This window comes from Homo sapiens, chromosome 21, assembly GCF_000001405.40.
Source record: "Homo sapiens chromosome 21, GRCh38.p14 Primary Assembly".
Classification (NCBI taxonomy): Eukaryota; Metazoa; Chordata; class Mammalia; order Primates; family Hominidae; genus Homo; species Homo sapiens.
In genome coordinates, this window is record NC_000021.9 from 19221917 (window position 1) to 19249406 (window position 27490).

The following is a 27490-nucleotide window of genomic DNA, read 5'->3' on the forward strand; positions in this document are numbered from 1 at the left end:
GGCACAAAGAGGATTAGAGGAATATATGTTGCTTTGTATTTCAATAGAATATTCTCCAATTTTTTTAAAAAGCAAAAGCATGCTCATTATAATCAATCAATATATAGATATACAAAAGATGTGTACACTCTTACCACACAATTGTACTCAGTGTTACATAAACAATGATAGGAAGTCAGTATGTATCTCTTTTGTTTTTATAGAAATGTATAAAGTCATATAGAGTTTTTTTTGGTAATTTTGTTGTTTTGTTGTTAACATTTATTTCCATATCAATATATGTTATATAACTGCTCTGCAACTTGAATTTTTTGCTTCACTTGGTGACAATAACAGCACAATAAAAACATATCATAATCAAATAGCCACTACGGATGAGTATTAACATTGTTCATATTGCTTAACTAATGCAAATATTTCAGTAGTAAACATTCATATATCCTTATTACTGATTTTTTATTTCTGTGGGATAGTTCACTGGATAAAATATTCAAGTAAAAGGAAAATCATTTTATAAATATTCTCAATGCGTAAGTAGCTTGAGATCTTTGAGAAAGACTGTTGGAAAATAAAATTGGCAAGTCCAAATCTTGTAGGAGATTATAGTCCAAAGTAAAGAATTTGTTTTATCCTAGGTGCACAAAAAATTCTCTAGGAGGTTTTAGGCAATGAGGTGACAAGAATAAATGTCTTTACCAAGATCCTCGTGGTGGTTATATAAAGAAGTCCCCCAAAAGTTAATAATCCCCTGACAATTATGGTGAACATTTTATATTGAACTGAACACTTTTAATGATCTCTTACACCTATTGCAGCATATCTATTAGTACATCAATGTCAGGATTCCACTCACCTTATTTTGTTACCTTATTGATTCTTTTTATTAGAATTTCAGGTTCTGGTATCACTGAACCATTGCATGATGCAGGATATGGTGTGATGCTTAGTAAACATCAGCTTGGTAAATGTTGATCTATGGACACCTAGAAAATCAAACAGGACTGTGATGTCAAATAGTTAGAAAGTTAATTGAAATTCAATATTGACTAAGTAAAATTTGGTGAGACATAAGACCTTTTTGAGTAACTAACATTTTATTTAAGATTTTTGCGACCAGATGAGACATATTTGGGAAGATGGAGAATAAGGCTTTTGGCTTAGAGAAGACCTAGTACGATAGATTAAGGAGGTAACAAGCCTGGCACAGAAAAAAAATGCACATTTGTCCTAATCACAAATGCTGTGAGGTGGTTTAACAAAAGCAGAATTACTTTCTCTTCAGATATCTTCTCCCAATCTCAGTAAATAGCACGAAAATGTAGTTAAGTGATCAAACCAAAATTATAAGATTCCTTCTTTTTTTTTTTTTTCATTCTTTCAGCTCCCACACAAATAGATAGTATTAACTCACTCATTTCTCTGTGACGCAATTGTTAGCACAGTAGTCCAAACCATCAACTTCTCTCATCTGGACTGCTCAGCATTCCCACCTGAGGGCTTCCTGCTGCTGTCGTTGTCCCTTCAATTCATTCTGTCCCCTGCCCTGGCTTTCTTGTTGCCTGAAAAATCTAACCCTATTGGCTCCTATATGAGGTGGAATTTGTTTCTCTTGTCTATAACTTGACTTTTAATTTATCATTAGCTTAAAATTTCTTTTTTAACATAGTTTTATTTAATTTCAAGTAGTCAAATCCATCAATCATTTTACTTACGGTTTTTAAATATTTACATATTATTTGAGGTAGGCCTTCCACATTCCAGGATTTAAAAAAAAAAGATTAGCCTCTTAAAATTTTTAGCCTTTTATGGCTTATGTTTTAAAAACAATTTTGTTGAGGTGTAATTTTAATACTATAAAATTCATCTATCCTATGTATATAATTCAGTGATTTTTATTAAACTTACAGTTTTGCCAGTGTTACCACAATTCAGTATTAGAGTATTTCCATCATTTCAAAACTTCCCTGAGAAGGAATTTTAGTCAATCTCAGTTTCTACCCCCAAATCCTACTACTTTGTGTTCAGTCAGTGTGAATTTTTCTTTTAGAGACATTTCATATAAATGGAGTCATAAAATATATAACCTTTGTGTCTAACATAATGTTTCTGTGCTCTAAATCAGTAGATCATTTGTTTAGATTACTGGATAGAATTCACTGTATGTATAAACTGCATTTTGTTTACTAATTTACTAGCTGATGGATATTTGGATTCCTTTTACTTATTGGCCATTATGAACAACATTGCTATGAACAGTTGCATACAAGTGTTTTTCATTTTCTTGGTTAGATGCCTAAGAGCAGAACAAGTGGGTCATATGGCAAGTTTATGTTTAACTTGCAGTGGAACGATCACCGCTCACTGCAGCCTCGGCCTCCTGGGCTCAGGAGATCCTCCCAAGTAGCTGGGATTACAGGTGTGCGCCGCCGTGCCCAGCTAATTTTTGTATTTTTTGTAGAGACAGGGTTTTTTCATGTTTCCCAGGCTGGTCTCGAACTCCTGATATCAAACAATCCGCCCGCCTCGCCCTTCCAAACTTTTTGGATTACCGGTGTGATCCACCCTGCCTTGCGTTTAGCTTCTTTAGAAACTGCCAAACCATTTTCCAAAGTGTGTGTATCACTTTACATTCCCACTTGTCAGTGTATGAGGATTCCACTTCCTCCACATTCTTGCATAAACTTCTTTTCTCTTTTTGATAAAAGCTGTTCTAGTAAGTGTGAGGTAATATCTCACTATGGTTTTATTTTTCATTTCCTTAATAACTGATGATAAGTATATTTTCATGTGCTATTTAGATATTTTTATATATTATTTGATGAAATGTCTAATTAAATATGTCATCCATTTTAATTGGATATTTGTTTCCTCCTATTGCATTATACGAGTTCTTTTTAATATTCTGAATATAAGCCCTTTGTTGAGATGTGATTTTCAGATATTTTCTCTTGCTCTGTGGTTTGCCTTTTAATTTTATTAGTCATGTCATTTGAAACACACAGGTTTTAATATTGAAAAAGTCTCAATTATCTTGTTATGTGTTGTGTTTTTGTTTTATCGGTTCTGTTTTTGGCATCATATCTAAGGGACTCTTTGCCTGACAGAATGTCTCAAATATTTTCTTTTGTGTTTTCTTCTAGGAGTTTTAGAGTTTCAGGTTTTGCAGATCTGGTTTCAGATCTAAGATCTACTATTCACTTGGAATATCTTTTTGTGTATAATGTGAGGTAAGAACACATTTTTTTTTTTTTTTTGCATGTGGACATTCAGCTGTTCAAGCACCATTTGATGGAAAGACTAATTTTCCACATTGATTTGCCTTAATATCTATGTCAAACAACAATTGACAATGCATGTAAAAATTTCTTTCTGAATTTTCAATTCTGTTATATTGATCTATATGTGCACTTTTACCTCAGTAACATATTGTCTTGATTTTGGTAGTTTTATAGTAAAATTTGAAATTTGGAGGTGTAACTTCAAACTTCATTTTCTTTTTCAAAATATTTTTGTCAATTATGAGTCCTGCATTTCTGTGTTTCTTTTTTAAACTGAATATATTTTTCTTGCATAAATATTTACATAGAAGTCAGTGTGTTATAGGAATAAACAGAGTTTCTAGTTGGGCAGATATACTATATCATTATTATTTATGAAACATTAATGAAGTTATAGTTACAGTATTTGGGCCTTTTATTGTATGTCCATTAGGGTATAAGAAAAATATCTATCTTACAATGGTTCAATAACTACTTTGTGGAATACTTTATTAAATATTTTCCTTCTTTTTAATCAACAGTTAAGTGTTATTAAAAGTATTTTCTATGTGTTCTGATATTAAAAATGTCTTAAGTATTTTCAATTACTATAATAAATGTTCATAACTTGTATATTTATATCATTCCAAATTACTTAAGGTAAATTCTGTTTTTAATAATAAATATGTAGATATTATAAATTAATATAGCATATAAATATATAAAAGTATATCTATATCTAAATTATATAAACATGCATGTATGTATATACACACATCATGTATGAACAAGACCTCAGAAATTGAGAGTGGATATAAATTCTTATGAAAAAACCCTCCGTTGAACTGAACACAAAAGCATATACAGGGAGAGAGCAAGACAAACTCATAATGTCAGCGGCATCACAGAGAGTAAAATAATACTGGTTTTAATTAGTCCGGAAAAAAGAGAGGTATTTTGTGTAACTGGCACTTAGGCATTGAGTATTCATAAGGCAATGAGTATTCATTCTTATAAAGTTGTCTTTATAAGATTCTGCATTTATTATTCTTGTTCACCTTTATTACTATAGAGGTGAAAAGGGTGTCATGCTCTTCTTCACCCATCATAAGGGTCACAGCCGACGGTCCTATTAAAAAAGACAAGCTAATAAGAGCAAAGTGTAACAAGTTTATTTTATCAAAGCCTTCAGAAATGAAGACCCAAAGACCTAGAAAAAAATCTCTAAAATATTTTTATGCTTAGGTTTGATGAAGAATGAACAGCAATGTGGAAATGTGATTGGACAAAAGGGTATGATCTAATGGCAGTAAACTGAAGGGGGAACTCCAGCAATTCCTCTCTGTCCAGATTCTTTTTGGACTCTCTATGTAGCATTCCTTCCTCCTGAATATGGGGTAGGACTCCTCTGGAATTAGGGTATTCAAGAGAGAAGAGAGAGAGTGTGGCCTTTCTTGGTCTTATGGCTTGATTTTGGGGAGAATGGCTCTAGTTTCTATGACCTGTTCATATGGTCTGGCTCTGTGCCCAAACCAAATGTCAGTTAAAATTGTAATTCCCCTGTGTCAAGACAGAGGGACCTGTAATCCCCATGTGTCCATGGAGAGAAGTGATTGGATTATGGGGTGGTTTCCCCCATGCTGTTCTCATAATAGTGAGTGAGATTCACGAGGTCTAAGGGTTTTAAAACTGAAACTGGAAACCATCATTCTCAGCAAACTATCGCAAGGACAAAAAACCAAACACTGCATGTTCTCACTCATAGGTGGGAATTGAACAATGAGAACACATGGACACAGGAAGGGGAACATCACACACTGGGGACTGTTGTGGGGTGGGGGAAGCGGGGAGGGATAGCATTAGGAGATATACCTAATGCTAAATGACGAGTTAATGGGTGCAGCACACAAGCATGGCACATATGTACATTGTAACAAACCTGCATGTTGTGCACATGTACCCTAAAACTTAAAGTATAATAATAATAAAATTAAAAAAAATAAAGTTCTACTACAATTTAAAGAAACAAAAAACAAACTAACAAAAAAAAAAACAAAAAACTGGTGTTTTTTCCTGTGCTCTCATTTCTCTTCTCTCCTGCCACCTTGTGAAGTAGGTGTCTGCTTCCCCTTCGCCTTCAGCCATGATTGCAAGTTTCCTGAGACCTCCCCAGCCATGCTGAACTATGAGTCAATTAAACCTCTTTTCTTTATAAATTACCCAGTCTGGGGTATTCTTTGTAGCCCTGTGAAAATGGACTAATACACCTGTCTTGGGGAAGAGGAATTCTGCTATGACATGATTTTGGGGAGATACAGGGATGACAAACATGAAGATGAGAGAAGGTCAAAAAGACCTTGCTTCCGAGGTTCTTCCAATCTCTTTCAGTTCAAGGTACTCAGCATGTCAAAGTGCCATACTTTGGGGTATCGTGTTCTGAGCCCCAACATTGCTTGTGTACATTAACAAATAAATGATTGATAAATAATTAATAATAAGATTACGTTTTAAATAAATTTACTCATTGGATAAAACATAACTAACCATGTGAATTTCTCTGTGTTTCCCTCATGCCTTATTTTGTTAATGCAGGAATTGGCCATAAATAAATTTGTTATGGTGGTAGAAATAAAACGTCAGTAGATTGTAGCTTTCTAGAACTTTGTGCATTAAACTAATTTCTACAACCTCTAAATTTAACTAGTTATTTTAGCTGGACAGAAAATCCAAATGAAATTGACATGACATTTGAATGTAAATAAGGTGAAAAGCATTTCTTAATTTTTGCATTTTTAGACATAGAAAAAACAATGATTACTCTTTTTACTCAAAGTGGAAATATCCTATAGTCTTATGAAATTTTTCACATCTCTATAATTGTTAATATTAGTTAATTTTACTTAGACATAATCAACTCTTTTGTTTAGGTAAAAATTCTCAATAGAAACATTTATTTCATTAGCACATTTTTTCCCAAAAATTTTACCAGAGGGAATTTCAAAGGTTAATATCTGGTATTAAACAAACAAACAAACAAAGAAACAAACAAACAGTAGCCGTCTTGACACAGTTTTGTCCATTACAGAGTGAGCCATGAAACAATATTTTGACCTATTTACTACTATAATACCCTTGAGAATACATCAGCAAAAAAGAATCAAGTGCCTTGTTTTCTCTGGAATTTGAGCTTGGTGGAGCTCCTGCATCTGTACTCATCCTCTCATGCTAAGGGAGTAATTACAAGTGTTCAAGCCAAATCCATAAATCATGATGTGGTGAGAACTCTGGTTTCCTTTGATGTTTTCCTTAAGTGAATGCAATCTCAGTGGCAGTTGATATCCACTAAACTGTTCTTGCAAATGCTTATTACATTTGAACTTAGAAGCAATTTGTATTCTCTGATGGGCTTTTGTCTTTGAAATGTCCTTCCCCTTATAATCCAAATGGAATGTCAATGTTGAACCTTTTGTTCAGTTACATTCAGGAAAAGAAACAAATATGATTGTATATTTTATAGTGCTAAGGCAGTGCATTTCAGGAATACTTGCACACACAGAAACACACACCGCATATATTTGAACAGGTAGATTCTACATAAATCAGTTTTAGATTTTTTTTTCAGTGTCGCCTTTTGCTTAGTTTGCTGTCCAATATTAACTTTTTCTACATCTGGACTTTTTGTATATCCACTTACTTCGCATATTTCTTTTTCATGTCTTTAAGAGTATAGTTCTGAACAAAAACTAAAAAAAAATCAGAGAAAATCAATTTCTGAGAGATAGTATAGTTTAGTTAGAGGCATTATAGCTTATGTGAACTCTAAAGTAAAGCACACTTTTGCTCAAAACCCAGCCCTACTACTGAGTAGATGCTTGAGCCTATCGTTCAAAATCGCAATACATGTAAACTATTATTATCTATGTATTAAATGATTAATTGGAGATTTGTTTTAAAAAAATTCTGGGCAGAACAATGTAAGATTTGGTTAATCAGAAGGGATAGAATAACTACATGTGGAAGATAATTTGCATGTATCATTCTCCATTCCTGACAAATTACCTGGCAGAAATATTTTCATAAGAAAATCCTTTCCTCCTTTTGATGAAGTATTAAATATGTATTTTTAATGTATTCCACTTAAGTGACGTAAACATTTTGCTAAAATAAACTTAAAAAGTACACCAGTAATCTCCTGCTCTTTTAAAGCTCAAATACTCATATTGAGGTAAAAATAAATACATAATATTAAACAGTGTGCTTCAATATTTCCCATAGTTAGATGACATAAAAATATGTTATGGACCACATTTCTCAACCATAAGTCACACCTACCTTATGCTGTGCTCCTTTTCCTTAAACTCTCCCTGTGAATTTGTGCTTCATCACTAAGGCCAAAGAAAAAAGTTTAAAAGTGATAACTTCTCTGAGATATTTGTACCTTAACTACAGAAACACAACAGATAAAATCATCGTTAAAAGCAATGAAACAATAATGACAAAATCATAATTATAGGAACATATTCTTTTGAAAAATATTTCCTGGGCACCATATTATGATGCTTTTTGTACATTGTGTTTTTTAACCAATAGCCAATAAGTTGTCTAATGACCATCACATACAAGTCAGAAAAAGGAAAGGCAGATATGTTAAATAATTTGCTGGTACTCATATAGGAAATGATGGCAAACCTGGGACATAAATTCATGCTTGCTTTGTTACAGGTGTGTGAATTGATACTTAATATGTTTCCTGACACTTAAAATCTATTAATTTCTTGTCCATCTTCAGTAATACTTGGAAGCCCAAAATACAGATGTTTAATCTGTTGCTGGTATTATTAGGAGGTAGCTACATAAGTAAATATTCAGGTCGGACAGGGCAACCTAGGTATTTAGGAGGAAGAAAGAAAACCGACAAAAAATAGAGTAAAGAATAAGCAAGCAGTTAAGATGTAGAGGTGGTCGTAAGGTAGGAAGAAGGAAACAGATTTCAAGTACTATATATAAATTCTTAAAACATGTACAGTTTACACAATTCACCATTGAGTCTTATTTTATACACAAGAAAGAATTGCAAAGCCATCAAATGTTTATTGACCCTACCAGTGGGTTATATATTAAAATCACTTCTAGTTGAGTCTTGAGTGATCAAAAATAAGACCCAGTCTCTAAAATTTAGGTGAAATTTTATAGGATTGCTTCAATATTATTTCTGTTTGCTGAAAAGGTAATAATACCGAAAAAAATAAAATCATGGAACCATACTAAAATTATGATAAAAATTCAAATAATAACTTTGAACGCTTCATCCATTGGTGATAACTTACTATAGGCAAAACATCTGTCATGTTGTGAGAAGTGCTGATGAAGTTTATTAAATTAGGAAGGCAATAATAATAATTATTTAAAAAATAGAATTACATAAAAACATTCAAAATTATTTTGCTTGTATAAAACAACTGGTGATTAACCACACATCAGCAATTATTTGCTAAGCAATGATTACCTGCATCTCTATAAAAATTAATTCTTCTCCAAAAGGCTTAAAATATTCCTACAGAGAAATTATCATCAGCATATTCTAGACATTTTCTAAATTGAACATTGCCTAGAAAATTGTCAGCTCTTTTTAATACTTTTTATTACTGATAAGTTTTTAATACATTAGGATGAAAAAGAGGACCAGCAAGGCAACCACCCCAGGGTGTTATGACCTTTGTCTCTTCTGGCAGCATTCATCTCATTCATGTTTCATACAAGAATGATTGGTTCCATGGAACATACTTAGGAAAACCATACTTAAACTATAATGCCCTAAAGGCTTGATTTGTTTGACTTCTTGATTTGCTCTACAAATAAAATTGTTAAACACCGACATGGTATTTGGTAAGAGATTGTAATTATATATGTCTTGGAAATAAGGACTTTTAGATTGGGATTCATTCATTCCCAAGTGGATATTGGCTATGCAGCTTCCATACTTTAAAAGAAATTTGAAGCCTCTTTATCCTTAGTGCAGCTTACTCTAGACACATTAGAAGAAACAATTCATTTACAATGTTATATATATTTTGTAGCATTCAGTATTAATAATAAACTAAAGGGCCTGATGAAGCTGTACTCTACTAGGAATCATGCATATCTTCAGAGAAGTGTTGAAAATTAAATTCTCCGTAGTATTATTAAGAAACACTTATAGCCAAGAGAAAAAATAAAAGTAAAAAGATGATTACTATCCTCAACTCTGTAACTTCTTACTATGTCATAGTGAGTAAATCATGTAAATATTCAGAAGTTACTTTATGTTTCATAATATGTGGATTAAAATACCTATTCACCTTAATTATGGCTGACTTTTCTTAACCCACAGAATTTCTACTTAGGCAATTTATGTGAAAGGATGAATTTATTTATTAAATAAATATTTTACAATGTGCTGGAGAGATAAAGATGAATAAGACCAAATCCTGCCCTCAAAGAATTTCTTAAAGGTACCCTTAAGACTCATAGAGTTTAATGAAAAAAGAAAAAGAGTCAATTACTATATCATGTGCTTAAAGGAGCAACGGAGATCATGGAAGGATTTGAGGGAGCATAAGAGAGGTACCTAAACATTGGCCTCAATTATATACCTAGGGAAAGATGACTCAGAAATACACCACTTAAGCCTAGCTCTTGTTTATTTCCTGAACTGAAAACCTGAATATCCAACTTCTTCCTATATCTCTTCTGTTCGATTTCTCACAGGCATCTCAAATGAACAGGTCTATAATTGAACTAATCTATCCTCCCAACAACTACACTTAGGGGGTCCTCTATTTTTTTCTTGTCACTGTAAACAGAATTCACATTCAGACAGGTATTCAATTTCTTGTCTAGTTATCCAACTGCTTCCAGAGCCAATCTTTATTTGACCTTCTCAATTTAGCCACATTGGACTTCCTTTAGCCCTCTAATGTGTTCTTCATCACCACATTTCTCACTCTCATTCCATGCCCTCCTAGGGTAAAGGTTTCATTTACTATAACGAGGCATACTGGAGTGGTGTCAGAGTTTGAAAGGGTTTAATAAAGACAAAGTAGAAGCTGTCAATGAAGAAGGAGAGGTTACAAGTACTACTTACAGAAAGAAAAGTCTGTGTTTAGAAAAATTAAAGGGAAACATTAGTCTTGTAATACTAGGAGGCTATAACGTGCTTTTTAGGATGATATCACGGAAGTTTGAAATGGAGAATAGCACTTTAAGTGCACTTCTCTTCCTCCTAGTCTTCACGTTTAAATAAGTCAAAAACTGATAAGAGTCTTTCTCGTAATGTTTCCCTATCAGTTCCTTTGTTTTCACTGTCAGAGTAGCTATCATGGTTCCAATCCTTTACCATTTTTTTTCCTTAAAAAAAATCTCTCTCTCTCTCTTTCTCTCTCTCTCTCTCTCTGTGTGTGTGTGTGTGTGTGTGTGTGTGTGTCTGTGTGCATGTGAAAACACTTCTTTACTTTTGCTTTCTACAAGATGCTCTGGGTTACTTTGTGTCTTCCTTGTCCCTGAATCTGCCATCTCTTCACGGACCTGGTTTCTTTGTTAGAGATGGTATTAGATACCAAGATCTGTGGTACTAGATATGCTCATTGCTGTGATGGTGCCACTGCTTATAGTCCTACTGAGCAGACATCAGATAAATAAATGTGTGTATATTAATCATGTATATACAAATATCTACAAATATGTCTATATGTAACCATCTGTATCCATATTAAGGTGAGCATGAGTTAATAGCAATGCATCCAATTCTGATCCATTGCTACAAGGATCTTTCTAGCCTTGTCCCCTTGTTTATTTGTAGCTTCCTCTCCAACTGTGAGAAATATGGCTCCCACCACCCATCATTCATTTAACTAGTGTCTAGTGGTATCAGAATTGTTAAACAGTATGTCCATAGGAAACATTATCAACGTGAACACAGTACTTACATAAAATTTTCTGAACTTTTAATCTTCAAAATTTCACTGATTTTCAAAGATCAGTAAAATTGTTTTACAGATTTGTAATTTAGCTAGTTTTTTTAACATGTTTTGCATTCTCTCCTCCCATCTTCTGAACTTTTGATTTTTTTTAAATTTTAGAACATTAGGTTTATTATTTTCCCTGTAAAGTTCTGTGAATTTTGACTAATGAATAGCATCATGTTTCCACCATCATATTATTTACAGAATAGTTTCACCTTCCTGAAAATTCCTCTGTGTTTCACCTATTCAACTCTCCTTTTCTCCCTCCTAAAACCTTGACAACCACTGATTTCTTTATTGTCTACTATGTTCCCTTTTTCAGAATATCCTATCATTGGAATCACAAAGTATATAGCTTCTTCAGATTGTCTTCTTTCACTTAGCAATACGCATTTAAGATTTATTCTGTTTTTATAGCTTGATATCTCATTTATTTTTATCACTGAATAATATTCTACGTGTAGATATACCAAGTGTGTTCAGTCATTCACCTCTTGAAGAGTATCTTTGTTTCTTCCAGTTTTTGGTGAGAATAAAGTGCTAGAAACATTCATGCATAGGTGTTTTGTGAACTTGTTTTATTATTTATTTATTTATTTATTTATTTATTTATTTATTTATTGAAAGATGGAGTTTCGCTCCTCTTGCCCAGGCATCCATTGATTGCAATGGCACGATCTCAGCTCACTGCAACCTCCGCTTCCCAGGTTCAAGTGATTCTGTTGCCTCAGCCTCCCGAGTAGCTGGGATTACAGGCATGCACCACCATGCCCGGCTAATTTTGCATTTTCAGTAGAGACAGGGTTTCTCCATGTTGGTCAAGCTGGTCTCAGACTCCCGACTTCAAGTGATCCGCCTGCCTCGGCCTCCCAAGTGCTGGGATTACAGGTGTCAGCCACCGTGCCCGGCCTGTGAACATGTTTTCAATTCAGTTCGTTGAACACCTAGATACACAATCGCTGGGTCATATTAAGAGGCCATGTTTCAAAGCTGTATAAAACACCGCAAAATTGTCTTCTAAAATGGCTGTACCATTCTTTATTTCCAAATGCAATGAGTGTTGTTTTTGCTCTGTACCCTTTCCAGTGTTTGCTATGGTCAGTTTTTTATTTTGTTGTTGTTGTTGCTATTATTATTATTTTCACCAATCTAGTAGGTTTTTAGTGATATCTCATTTCTGTTTTAATTTGCAATTTTTGTGATGCCAAATGATAATGAACCTCTTTTCATATGCTTATTTTCCATCTGTGTGTCTTATTTGGTGAGGTGTCATTTCAGAACCTTTGCCCATTTTTTAATTGTGTTGTTTGTTTTCTTATTGTTGAGTTTTAACAGTTCTTTGTATACTTTTGGATACAAAACCTTTATCAGATATATGGTTTTCAAATATTTCTCTCAGTCTATGGCTTGTCCTCTTGCTATGTCTATGGTACCACCTCAAGACTGTGAGGCCCAAGGAGTTTCTTGCTTTCATGACAATCCACACTCAGCCTTCAGCAATTCATCAAAATTACCATTAAGTTTTCCTACCAGTTTATCGCTCCAATAGCTTCTGTTTTAGGTAAGTTGCCTTCTCTAAAATAAAGTTGTCTGAGGTCAGGTTGATGTTACCTTTTTTTTTGTCATTAACCCCAAAGCATGTGAACTCTCATGTTTATACATATATTCCTTGGTTAACCAAACACTGAGTGTCTCCTAATGGACCCAACTCAAGAGATTCCCATTCCTGCACTTATAGTAATATCTCATAATGTATTTACACTTCCTAAAAATGTAAGTCTTAGAATATAAACCAAAACATGAAATAAATATTCACAAGTCCATACTGATACATGGTTATGAATAAATAATTCACTAAATAAAGATAGAAAAATACAAATCTGCCCATAAAAAAAGAATTCCAAACAACTTGTATAGATATTCCCCCATCAAGGATGTGGCCGATAACCCCCCATTCCTTAAGAGTGGATGACACATAAATGAATTCCTTCCAAAGACTATAGTATGCAATGGGGCTGGGAGCCAGAAAAACTTTACAGTAGAGGAACGTGATAAGCTCTACTTCAACGAGTTGTCCGAGACTAATATCATGCTGGTAGTATGACAGTGTGTTCTTTAATACAATGTGATACAAGTGGTACTTCTTTGTTTCTGTGGTTTTCCTCCCAAGAACACATAACCTCAGTCTAATCATGAGAAAATAATCAGACAAATTCTAACTGGGAGGCATTCTATAAAATGTCTGACCAAATCTCTCAAACTGTCAATATCCTGATACACAAGAAAACTCTGATAAACAATCATAGTCAAGAGGAGCCTAGGAACATATGATGATTAAATATAATGTAATACTCTGTATGTAACCCTACAACAGAAAGAGAGACGTTAGATAAAAACTAAAGAAATCTGAAAAAAAACCACTAAAGATTACATAATAATGTACCAATTTTGTCTCAATGATCTTGACACATGTGCCACACTATTTGTAAGACATTAATAATAGGAGAAAATGGGTGTGGAGTGTATGGAAATTTTCTACACACAATCTTGCTGTATTTCAGTAAATCTAAAACTGTTTTAACAATTTTTTAAAGTTTGTTTACAGAAATTAATGACACATAAGGTAGAGATGAGGTTATGGAAAAAACAAAAGGAATTAAGATAGAGACAAGCTTGTTCTGGTAAACATAATTTATGCCATGAATTGGAACATACCTGCATGAGTTGGGAAACAATATTCACTTGATTAAATCTAACAATGAGAAATATGCAATTAGTTCTAAGACTGATTGCCCAAAAGAAAAACTGAACAGAACAGCACAAAATTCTTTAGAAAAAGAACAAAAATACATTCTATTAACAACTGAGCGAAAGCCTCCATCCATTTTCTTACAGAAAAAAATATATATTAAGCCTCATAATAATTTTTATATATATGCTAAACAAATACATATTTTGGTATTATTATTTGGCTGCTTATATAAACACAGGCACATGCATTTAAGCAATCACAATTACGAATTTTTATTTCACTTTTAAAGTGGAAAATCTTGATTTCATTTTCTGGTTGTGTGATGGTTAATATTAAGTATCAACTTGATTGAAGGATGCAAAGTATTGTTTCCGGGTGTGTCTGTGAGGGCGTTGCCAGAAGAGATTAACATTTGAGTCACTGGACTTGGAGAGGAAGAACCAACCACAATGTTGGGGCGGGGACCATCCAATCAGCTGCCAGCGCGGCTAGAGAAAGCAGACGGAAGAAGTTGGAAGAAGCTGGCTTGCTGAGTCTTCCAGCTTTCATCTTTCTCTCGTGCTGGATGCTTCCTGCCCTTGAACATCAGACTCTAGGTTCTTTGGCCTTCGGACTCTTGGACTTACACCGGTGGTTTGCCAGGGGCTTTTGGGCCTTCAGCCACAGACTGAAGACTGCACTGTCGGCTTCTCTACTTTTAACACTTTGGGACTTGGACTAAGTCCCTACTGGCTTTCTACTTCCTCAGCTTGCAGACAGCCTATCATGGGACTTGTGATCGTGTGAGCCAATTCTCCCTAATAAACTCCCTTTTATATATACATATAGCCTATTAGTTCTGCCCCTTTGGAGAACCCTGACTAACACCCGTTGTAGACATAAAATGTCAGACGATACAAGACATTGTAAAAGATAAAGTAAATGTTCAATTGCATACCCGACCCAGACCACCACCCAACCCGATCCTTAAGAAATAGCAAATTTTAGAAGTATGATCCACCAGAATTAATTTATGTGCTTATGTTTTAAGACAACAAATAAGCTAAAAGCCATCATTTTATACATTCTTTTGCCTGCTAATATTTTACCTATCTCTAAAGGATTCTACCTGGTCCATACACAGACATCATTTTCATTTAACATTTTAATACTTTTGTCTTAATCATTTAAACTTTTAATTACATAGATATACTATAATATATTTAAGTTATCTCCTTAAAAGGGATATTTAATTTTCAATATCTTATTCATTGTACACTATACTAGTTTTTATATTCATTAACATACATTTTGTTCTTTATCAACGTTTCCCTGAAAGAAAAAAAGATCTAAGACCATAATATTCTATTTGAAGAGAAAGCAAATGTATGTCTAAAAAGTGCCTTTCCTCAGCCTTGTTAAGACCACATTTCACTGTTTATTCAGTTCTCAATCTTTTTCAATAAAAATGTTTAAAAAATTATATATCAACGTTGTATGCATTTTCTTTTTTCAGGTAAACTTAAGAATAACCATGTTCCTTTAGTTTCTTCAGTAACAATATACATTTTTATGTATATATATATGTATATTTTCTTTGGCTAAAGGTTAGAAATGATTCAAATTATTAATTCTGTGAATAGACAAATATTAAGATATTTACAGTACTTTCATTATTACTTAAAATGAATTAAAATACCCAGATAAATAGGCTGTGATGTTAATGGCAGAGGTATTGCTTTAAAAGTATTGCTTTACTATAAATATTTTTTAGGTACAGGCAGATCTGAAGGGCCTGAAAACTCTTATGGATTGTAAACACAAATCACAGGCTCTGGCCAAGGGTACAAGTAGTAAAATCTGTAACAGTTGATCCATTGATTCTGCCCAGTCAGCTGGAAATCAATTCTTTGTAAGTGAACATGGCTCTGAATTTATGAAGGAGCCTGAAGCCCTCAAAGAACAGAAGTCACTCTGCTGCTGAGGCCTATTCGAGGGTGGCATTATCTGGCAAGCAAGTTTGTTAGTATGGTTTTTTAAAAATGATAGTTAATACACTTGACCTTCACTCCCTTTTACTCAAAATAGCAAGTTTTAAAATTATCTGCAAAACAGAAAATGATTCTCAGCCAAGAAAAGTGTACATTGATTAACTGTATACCGAATGTGTGCAATATGTCATGTGGGAAGTATTTTCAGAAATTAGAAAGCAGCATAAAAATGAACTCAAAATGGAAAAGTTCACCAAAAGTGCCAACTAGAACTCACATGTTTTCTAATGTCCAAGTATCAAAACCAAAACAAACAAAAAAACTAAGTTTCTAATTTAGGAGAAAAAAAGGAGCAGCGAAATTATTTTTACATTATAAGTGCCACCTAATATATTGTCACAGTATTTTTATAGATATCCAGTTTGTATTTCTCAAAAATAAAAAACAAACTATATTATGATTCATATATGCTATATAATAACATAGTTTACCTTGAGTTTATAAACTTTAAACAGAAAATTGTTCTTTAAAATTCCCTTAATTCAGTTCTTATTTAATTGGTTTTAACAAAGCTACATTTTGTAATAAATCCAACAATTCACCTTTATTTTATATGGACTAAACTATAATGATTAAATATGGTGACTTTATTCTTTAAATTATTTATCCCACCTGTAACAATCATAATGCTTCCTTATGTCATTCATGTTAATGGCCATATCTTTCTCTTTGAGTAACCATATCTCAATATAGGAAGCATCTCACAGTTTGCTTCTATTTATGTCTCATTCACACCAAATTAGCATTGTGTATACCAGTCTCCCAAGGGAAAGAGGAAAAACATTCTGAGCAGATTTGAAAGTTAGTTATTTGGCACTATGTTCTAAAAACTTTGCTGACTTTTTGACATATGCCAGCCCATGTGTAGCTAATCCAGAATCCTCTTAGGTAATGCTACCTCCATCCTTCTTTCACTTTAAAAACAAGTGGGCTTGAAAACATTTCACTAGTGGAGTATAGCACATCAAGGATCGGGCTCTTTCCTTCTCAATAACGTATTTTTTTAAAATCTAAAACACAGAAGGGATTGACCCTAAGATATATTTTTTAATATGTCATAAGAACGAGTAAGTTTGCTATGTCATAACATTTCTATAGAAAAATAGACAAAAGCCCACCCAAAATGAAAAGGAAAAGATGTATTCAAATATCATCAGTGTGATTCATTTCAAAAGTTAAAGAAGGTCATGATACTAAGGGAGAGAAGCAATGTCCGGTCTTGCCTAAAGAAGATGATTATGAAAGGACCATTCCATTTTCCTCTCAGATAAAATGTGATACGTTGGGATTAGGTATTCATTTCTGTTTGATGTATGAACTTATTCAAAAAAGGTGTCAAATACAAAGCATTGGTGTCCAACAATATTATTTGGTTATCCCTTAAATTATCCTTTAAAATGTGCAAGAATATGGTATATTCCATTTTATATTATTTCTTACTTATACTATCAGTTGAAATTTAATTTTTATTTTTAAAATTTTTCATTATTTTTGTGGATACGTAGCAGGTGTATATATTTATGTGGTACATGAGATATTTTGATACAGCCATACTATGTGTCATAATCACATCAGAGCCAATGTGGTATCCATAACTTTTAGCATTTATCCTTTGTGTTACAAAGAATCCAGTTATACACTTTTGGTTACTTTAAGATGTACGATTAAATGGTTATTGACTATAGTCACCCTGTTTTCCTATCAAGTACTAGATCTTATTCATTATTTCTATTTATTTGTGCCCATTAACCTTTGCCAATTCCCCCCATCCCCTCACCAACTACCCTTAGAAGCTTCTGGTAACCATCACTCTCTCTATCACCATGACTTTGTTTTAATGTTTAGCTCCCATAAATAAGTGAGAACATGTAAATTTTATTTTTCTGTGCCTTGCTTATTATGTTAGAAATATGTTCGATTTATAAAGCTTTTATATGATGATGCAATATAAAAAGAGCCTATTAGTTAATTTTGTTATTGACAAGAAGATGGAAGATTCTTTCTAAAAAATATCATATGAAAACAAAAATGCCTGAACATTGGTAAAATAATGAATCCTTCTATCACAACACAATAGTAGAATTATTGTATTTACATCTTTAAAATACAAATTTTATTGGTTAAAAATTTTATTTTCTTTACAAATCATTCCTTGATTCTTAACAGCCCCATCTTACTCTGTTTATTGTATTTTAATCTTTACTATTGCTTTTAATTAGGTGACTAAGAGATCTGAATTCTAAAAGAATTTAGATTTAAAAGATATTTCAGCTCCAAAATGTGAAAGCATTTTGTTTAAATCTTAATTGCATCTTTTAATTTAATATTCAATTATAATACTATTATAAGGTCAAATTGAGTGGAGATTGTCTAACTTTATTAACATCGGCATAATTGCTAAAAGGATAGAATTTTCAGAGGTCATCTGATTCTTGTTCAGGATCATTTCTTATCGATTGACCAGGAAATGGAACAGTTTGAGGTTTTCCTCTAATTATTTAAAGCCATCTTCACTTATCTCATTATATATTTATAATGTTTCAAACTAATCATGATGATTATATCTTTATAAAGGTTACTGTAAGGGATTCAGCCTTCACTATAAAAAAAAACTGCTGCAATTTCTTCAAAACATTAAATAATAGAAAGTGTAGCCACTGATTTGGAAAACCTGCATGTAAATAAGAGATCATCTGTTAATAATTTTAGTAATAATTTAGAACAATTTGTATACTTATGCTCATAGTTCCATAAACCACATATTGTGGTTTTCTGGGAAGTAATATGGTGCTATATAATATGAAGATATCGTTACTCTTATGCAAAATGCAATATTAAAGCTTCTACTCAAGAAGTTTACACTTTCCATAGGTGCAAGTGTAGTTATACATTTGCATATTTAGTTTGCATTGGAAATTACAGGGATCATTTTAAAGAAGTAATGTTGGATTAATTTTTATGCAGTTGTACTTTTTGGAAATAAAATTGTATTAATAATACCAAATGGTGCTTTTTTTGTTTGTTTTTAAATGGCAAAATCCCCAACCAACCTGCTCTGGTAGCTCCTAATGTATTTCAGGTAGATCCCCACAGCTCTTTGGAATGCGAGGCTAGAGGTCATTTAAATGAAATTTCATATAGAGACATATGTAAAAGCATTTCACTTAATTAGAAAGCATTATAAAATATATGTTCAAGCATTATTAAAGGAAATCGATTTCTGGATAAATAAGAATTTTAGTGAAATTGAATAGTATTCACATATACTGCCTGCTTGTTTCTGCTTTATTATTTTCTAACAAATAGAATCCACATAAAAATGTTGTATCTTAATTAAATATTTGAAGGTCAATGTTAAACTTATTTTTACTTTTACCAAAAAGTACATTTTACATATGACTATGTAATTAGGTATTTTTCTGAAATTGTCAGGAAGTACTGTGAGTAAAAGTGTAACTTCTGTGACCACGAAATAAATTTTGTTTTATGACAGTTTTTATTGAATATGACTACAGCTAATGAAGTATTCATAAAATTATAGGTTTGGGAAAGACCTTGAGAATACAATTAGTCTATCTCCTTTCCTGATCACTTTAAGACACTTTATTATTCCATTTCATTCTGAGAACTACAGGGAAGATAATTTTATAAAATCTTTCTGTGATAATACATTTCAAGTCTTTTAAAGCAATGTGACAGTTCTCTTTTTTCAGAGGTCTGCTGCTCTGAACTATGTTTTATCTTTTAAAAGTGGCTGAAGATAATAATTTGTACCTACGAAAGTAGAATTTTCTTTTTTCCCTATATTTACCTTTTACTTTTTTATTTATGATGAAAATACACATTCAAAAGGTAATCCTCCTCTTGAATATTTTTTCTGCTTTCATCTTAGTACCAGTAATGTCATCTCTTAAGTGATTCTTCTACCATTAAATAGATAATTTCATTTTTTTTAATGTCAGACTCTTTTGCAATTTTTAGCTGGAATAGATGTTGATTCAAATTACTACTATAAGTTTCAAGGCCTTTTCACAGAATGATGTGTTAAAGCCAGCAACACAAGAAAAATGTAGAGGATCCAAGAGTTGATGCATAAGAACAAGCAGTCATATAAGCCATAGTGTTCATAGAAACCAGAGTGCCTTTAATGATCCGGAAAAAGTCTGTAATTGTTAATACTAGTACCTCATATTCCAAGGCACAACCTGACACAGAAGAGACTCGCAGATTTTTTTTTTTTTCTTTTAAGAGACAGGGTCCCGCTCCAACACCCAGGCTGCAGTGCAGCAACATGATCATAGTTCACTGCAACCCTGAACTCCTGGGCTCAAGCAATCCTCCCACTTCAGCCTACCGAGTATCTGGCACTACAGGTGTGTGCCACCATGCCCAGATAATACTTTTTGTAGATACGGGGTCTCACTTGTGTTGCCTAGGTAGGTCTTGAACTCCTGGCCAAAAGTTATCTTCTGGACTTGGCTTCCAAAAGTTCTGGAATTGCAGGCATGAGGCACCATGCTCGGCCAGGAACTCAGAATTGATTGATGTCCATGTCTATAATTTTTGGCAAAACTGAAATCCAGAGATGAAGTACCTCTATACAAAAGCGGGTACAAAGCAAAAACACATACATTTCTCCCTATATGCAAAAAAATAATAAAACTTCATTGTGACTTTCTTATCACTCTTAAAACTGAGGTTTCTAACACATACTTTACTCGAAACTCTATCTAGATTTCCATTTTGTTCCCAGTTCTTTGCTACTCTGTGCCCATATTTCATCAATGATTATGTACTGGCATTATTTTCATTTTATCACTTTGAGAACACGAACTTAGGTTTATCTTTTAATTTTAATGTTTAATTTACAGGCCGTGAAAAAAGTACTTCTAGTTACGATTATAAAGAAAAATGAGAAAAGTAGGTAGCATGGATTTTTATACAAACTGTTTTTAACCTTTTTTAAAATAATTACCAGGCTCAAAGTGTGCTGATAAACTCTTTGGTATCCATCTCAGGAAAAAGAATTCATAGTAGCTGGATCACAAAGACTCTGTATCTAGTTTTACTTTCTTGATTGAATCAAAGAACAAGTCAAAAAATTGTTCAGAACACAACATTTTGATGTTATTAATTCAACAATAAAGTAAGAGTTTTACAAACTGCTGAAAGATAGGAACATTTGTGATTCCTGACCAGAGAGTAAAGATAAAGTTAGAAATTATGTAGCCTTCTGTAAAGGTTGCTTGGTTCATAAAGGCTAAAAAGACGAGGTGCTCTTAGAAGAAGTAGAAACTCTTCAAGGGAAACTGAGCTCTCTGTAAAGCAAGCAAAGGACAAATTCCTATGGAATCATTGTGTAAGAAAGAAAAGATTAGAACGAGAAATTTCAAAAGTATTACTTGACTGAGTGAATAATGTAGCGACAACACAATATTCCATCATAAAAATTTCTTCAGAGGCCTATATTAATGCAGCCCATTAATCCTTGGAATTCTTGGATAATATATATTTCAAACATTCCCTGGTTGTCTGGTAGTTAGGGTTAGGCACTCTCCATATATATTTTTTCTCCTTTTATAAAAATAAATATAAAACTCATAACAGACAAAGAGAAAATTGGAAAGAAGTTGATAAAATTCATCTCCAAAGAAAAAATGAAAATAACATAATTTGATATTTAAAAAAATCTAAAATACATTATACTTAACAACAATAGATAGAATCATGAAGGAGTCTTATTTGGGAGCTCATTAAGGCTAATTTAAATTTTAATAAGACAAGTGTTATTGCCAATCTGAGGTGTATAAATTTGTTAATTTCTATCATTAATTCTATTATTATCCTTCTCAAATTAATTCAGAGCTTAAAAATCATGTTACTATCTATGTAGTTACCTTTCCCTTTATTCTTCTAAGGCTGCATTGAGTTTATCAGAGAAAAGAATACCAAGGAATATTAATTAGTTATCTTGTTGTGTAGAATTTATTTAAAATTATAGCGCTTAAAACTTAGTTATAAATCCTAATATATTGCTATTACAGACATAAATTGTATTGGTGCTATCGTAATAAAAAAGCCATATGATATGAGATGTTAAAAATAATTATTCATATTTGAAATAGAAGCCCTATATTTTAAAATGTTACAAAGAATAGACAAGAATACCATTCTAAATCCTTATATTTGTTTTCACTGATAGATTATTCTTAGCTCCTTAGAGAGGTCATGGCCTCCAGGCATTTAATCTGTGGTTGAGAGATATTAACCTCTCTTTAACATTTTCACTGTAAGCTGCATAACAATAAATTCATTTCCAGAAAGGAATAATTAGTGCAAACCTGGGTAAAATACCATCCAAAGTAGCTGTTAATGTTAATTTCTACATCTCATTATTTATTTTTGTGTGTTTTCTTAGGGAAGGGAAAAAATTATGTAAACACAGACAGACCCCTTCCTTTTTTGTATCATTATTCAGGCACGTGTCAAAAACCTTTCTACCACCACATTCTGGCTGTGCAACTTTGATTAAGTCGCTTAACGTCTCTGAGCCTTAGTTCCTCATCTCCATGTGGGAAAGCGAAGAGATGGTCACCAAGGAGAAGCTGCAGTGTCTGAAAGATTTCCACAAGGACATCCTGAAGCCCTCGCTGGGGAAGAGCCAGAGAGCGCGGTCTGAGGACAAGGCCGAGGGAAAACCTCCGCAGAGGCAGAAGTGGTCTCGTCTAGCAAGATCGACTTGGTGATCTCCGTGGCTGGCGGCTTCGTGGGCCTGGTCAACGTCTGGCGCTTCCCATACCTCTGATACAATAATGGTAAGGTGAATTTCTCATACTTTCCTGTTTGGAGCGGCCTGCCTGTGTTTTTCTTGGAGATCATCACAGGCCAGTACACCTCTGAAGGGGGCATCACATACTGGGAGAAGATCTGGCACTTGTTCTCTGGCATCGGCTCTGCCTCCATCGTAATTGTGCCCTTCCCGAACGTCCACTACATCGTCATCGTGGCCTGGGCTACAGACTACCTGTTCCAGTCCTTCCAGAAGGAGCTGCCCAGGGCACACTGCAACCACAGCTGGAACACGCCCCCCTGCATGGAGGACACCATGCGCACGAACGAGAGTGTCTGGATCACCATCAGCTCCACCAACCTTACCTCCCCTGTCACTGAGTTCTAGGGGCGCAACGTGCTGAGCTTGTCCCCTGGAATCGACCATCCGGGCTCTTTGAAATGGGACCTCTCTCTCTGTCTTCTCTTTGTCTGGCTAGCCTGTTTCTTCTGCATCTAGAAGGATGTCAGGTCCACGGGGAAGGTCGTCTACTTCACAGCCACGTTCCAGTTCGCCATGCTCCTGAGGCAGCTGGTCCGAGGGCTGATGCTGCCCGGCATGGGTGCCGGCATCAATTTTTCTCTGTATCCAGACATCACCTGCCTCGAGGGCGCACAGGTGTGTATTGACGCTACGACCCAGATATTCTTCTCCTAGGCCATCTGCCTGGGGGCCGTGACCTCTCTACGGAGCTACAACAAGTACAAGTACAACTCGTACAGGGACTGCATGCTGCCTGGATGCCTGAACAGTGGTACCAGTTTTGTGTCTGGCTTTGCAATTTTTTCCATCCTGGACTTCATGGCACGAAAGCAAGGGGTGGCCATTGCTGACGTGTCTGAGTCAGGCCTGGCCTGGTCTTCGTTGCCTACCCCAAAGCTGTGACAATGATGCCACTGCCCACGTTTTCGGTCCCTTTTTGTTGTTGTTGTTGTTGTGCTTCTCTTGCTTGGACTGGATGACCAGTTTGTTGAAGTCGAAGGGGAGATCACGTCCTTGGTTGATCTTTACCCATCCTTCCTAAGGAAAGGTTATTGTCGGGAAATCTGCACCGCCTTCGTGTGTAGCATCAGCTGCCTGCTGGGGCTGACAATGGTAACGGAGGTTGGCGTCTATGTCTTTGACTACTACGCAGCTAGCGGTGTATGCCTTTTAGGGGCTGCGTTCTTTGACTGTATAGTTACTGCCTGGATATATGGTGTTGATAATATTTATGACAGTATTGAGAACGTGATCGGCTATCGGGCCGGGCCCTGGATGAAGTACAGCTGGGCTGTGATCACTCCATTTCTCTGTGTTGGATGTTTTGTCTTCTCGATCGTCAAGTACACACCCCTGACTTAACAACGAAACCTACGTGGACACCATCTGCACCATCGGGCTGGGCTGGAGCCTGGCCCTTTCCTCCAGGTTGTGGGTTCCCTTGGTCATCGTCATCCGCCTCTGCCAGACCGAGGGACTGTTTCTCGTGAGAGTCAAGTAACTGCTGACCCTCAGGGAACCCAACCGCAGGGCTGTGGGGCGCGAGGGAGCCACACCCTACAGCTCCCGCTCCGTCATGAGCGGCGCTCTCATGAAACCGACCCACATCATTGGGGGTAGGAAATGCTTTCTTTAAACTATTATTCTCTGGGTTCTTGTTTCTCTGCTTCATTGTTTTAGAGTTTACCTTTCATATTAAAGTATTTACCCAAGTATGTGGGGACTTTTTATTTCTTTTCTTTGCAAGAATTATTTTTTTAATTACACTATTTGTAATAGAAAAGTTGAAACATACACAAAAGTAAAGGTACTATTATGATCAGTATGTATTCAGTATTTTGGTCAATCTTTCTTAATATAATTTTGTATATCTATATATAGATATATAGGTACATTATTTTGCTAGATTATTTTAAAGCAAATCTTACATAGCTTGCCTTTTCACCCAACAGTAATTTGGTATGCTTCATTAACTTTAATATTTTGATTTTACATTACCACCATGTCTTTAATAACTCAACAATATTCGTTACATTTTAATAATATTTTATACCCAGCCAAAATTTACATGTTTCTTATTGTTCTAAATGTTATTTTAATTTTGCTTGCTTGAATTAGGATGCAAAGTTCACACACTGCATATTTGTTTACTTATTTTTAAAGAGGGAGTCATAATTTGGTACTCCTATGTCATAAATAAAAAGTCAATAGGAGTAATTGAGTTACTCGTTTTCAATATTGGCAATTTGATGATTATATTCCTTTTAAAGTCGTATAACTATGGTTGGATACATTGAGAGAGTTCATTTTCTCCTACTCATCAGTGTGTGTATGGATCTCTTTAGCAACATATCCAAAAAATTATAATCACCCTTCTGCTTAAACAATTCCAGGGACAAGAATTTCACCATTTCCAAGGATATCAAATATCACAGTATTTGATATGTTGAATCATTAGACTTTGTTCTCATGTGGAAAAAACATAATTCCACATGGAATACATTGTTACTCTTCAATGATATATAGGATTATATATACTGATTCTACCAATTCTACATGAAATATGACACATTATTTTTTAAATATGCAGACTTTATGTTTTAGAGCAGTTTTATGTATCACCTTACTCCCCTCTTCCAGCATGCACTGACATGGTATATTTGTTACAATTGATGAATCAATATTGGTACATTGTTGTAAAAGCCCACACTTTTCATTGGGGTTCACTCCTTGTGTTGTACATTTTATGGGTTTCCACAAATGTACAGTTGCATGTATCCATTATAACATTGTCATTAAGTACAGTTTCAATGCCTTAAAATCCCTGCCCATTGCCTGTTCATCCCTCCCTCCCTTTAATAAAATCCCTGGAAACCACTGATGTTTGAATGTCTTTTATGCTTTGCCTTTTCCAAAATATCATGTAGTTGAAATCACACAGTATGTTTTATTTTCAGATTGGCTTTTTTGTTTACTTAGCATGGAAGGTGCCTCTGTGACTTTCAATGGCTTAATAGCTCCTTTTTATCACTGAAAAATAATTTATTGTGTGGATAAAACAAAGTTTTTTATCCATTTACCTCTTGAAGAACATCTTGGTTCTGTCTAATTTGTGGCAATTAAGAAAAAGCAGCTATAAGCATTTGTATGTAGGTTTTTAGCTGGTCATAGTTTTTCATCTTATCTGGATAAGTACCAAGGAAGGCACTTGCTGGATCATATTGGTGAGAACTTTGTATGAAGTTTTTTGTGAGCTTTGTGTGAATCTGCCAAACTAACTTCCAAGGTGGTTGTACAAGTTTGCATTCCTACCAGAAAAGAAAAGGAAACAAAACAAAACACAAACAAAAAACAAAGAAAAATACCCGAGTGTTTGCTCCATATGCATGTCTTGTCAAAATTTGATGTTGACAGTGTTTTGAAGTTTAGGTATTCTAATGTGTAATGATATCTTGTTGGTTTAATTTGTATTTTCCATATGTATGACATATGATACAGAGCAACTTCTCATATGCTTATTTTTCATCTGTATCTTTTTTGATGAGGTGTTTGTTCTGATTATTTTCCAGATTTTTAATTGAATTGTTTGTATTTTTATTGCCATTGTTGTTGAGTTTCAATAGTTATTTGTCTATTTTGGATATCAGTCCTTTATCTGGTACATGTTTTGCAAAGATTTTTCTCCCATTCTGAGATTTGGTTTTTCATTCTCTCAACAGTATCTTTCACAGAGTAGAAAATTTTATTTTTAATGTGGTCCAAATTTACATTTTTTTTTCCTTTTTATGGATGGTGCTTTTGTGGTTGCATCAAAAAACATTTGCCAAAACCAGTCACTTAGATTTTCTCCCATGTTATCTTCTAGAAGTTTTTTTTTTTAATTCTACATCTAGATTCATGAACCATTTTGAGTTAACTTTTATGAAAATCATAATTTTTGTCTTTTGCTTCATTTATTTGTATGTATAAGTTCGATTTTTCTTGTGCCATTTGTTGAAAAGGCTATCCTCTCTCTTTTCATTTGCCTTTCCCTCTTTTGTAAAAGATTATTTATTTATATTTGTATGGGTCTATTTTGGGGCTCCTTATTCTGTTCCTCTGAAGTATATGCCCAGTTTCTTCACCAGTGCCACGTGGTTTTGATTACAATTGCTGTATAGTAAGTCTTGAAATAGGGTAATGTCAGTCATCCAACTTTGCTCTTTTTCATTGATATTGTGTTTTCTATTCTGAGATTTTTGCCTTTCCATTGCAACTCATTTCTCTCTTTTTTTTGGCAGATATTTTAACATTTAATGATATTAGTTCTATTTTCTTAATTGTCATACTTATCATCCATGGAATATTTTATTTTATTTTATTATTTCCATAGGTTATTAGGGGAACAAGTTGTGTTTGGCTTATGAGTAAGTTCATAAGTGGTGATTTGTGAGATTTTGGTGCATCCATCACCTGAGCAGTATACACTGTACCCTAGTTGTATGTAGTCTTTTATCCCTGGCCGCCTTCCCCCCTTTTCCTCCTGAGTACCCAAAGTCGTTGTGTCTTTTTTTTTTCTTTTGAGACAGAGTTTCCCTCTTGTCACCCAAACTGGAGTGCAATGGCACCATCTTGGCTGACCGCAACCTTTGTCCTCTGGG

At 34.1% G+C, this 27490-nt stretch overlaps 1 pseudogene, besides 2 other annotated features; it reads left to right on the top strand.

Moving 5' to 3' along the window:
• Positions 14603-14803: a silencer, noted in NCBI's record as "peak4361 fragment used in MPRA reporter construct". NCBI's record gives its function as "represses an SCP1 promoter by STARR-seq MPRAs in K562 erythroleukemia cells {active_cell/tissue: K562}" and the evidence as "EXISTENCE:reporter gene assay evidence [ECO:0000049][PMID:32103011]".
• Positions 19963-20163: a silencer, noted in NCBI's record as "peak4362 fragment used in MPRA reporter construct". NCBI's record gives its function as "represses an SCP1 promoter by STARR-seq MPRAs in K562 erythroleukemia cells {active_cell/tissue: K562}" and the evidence as "EXISTENCE:reporter gene assay evidence [ECO:0000049][PMID:32103011]".
• Positions 22616-23217, top strand: SLC6A6P1 (solute carrier family 6 member 6 pseudogene 1; annotated as a pseudogene).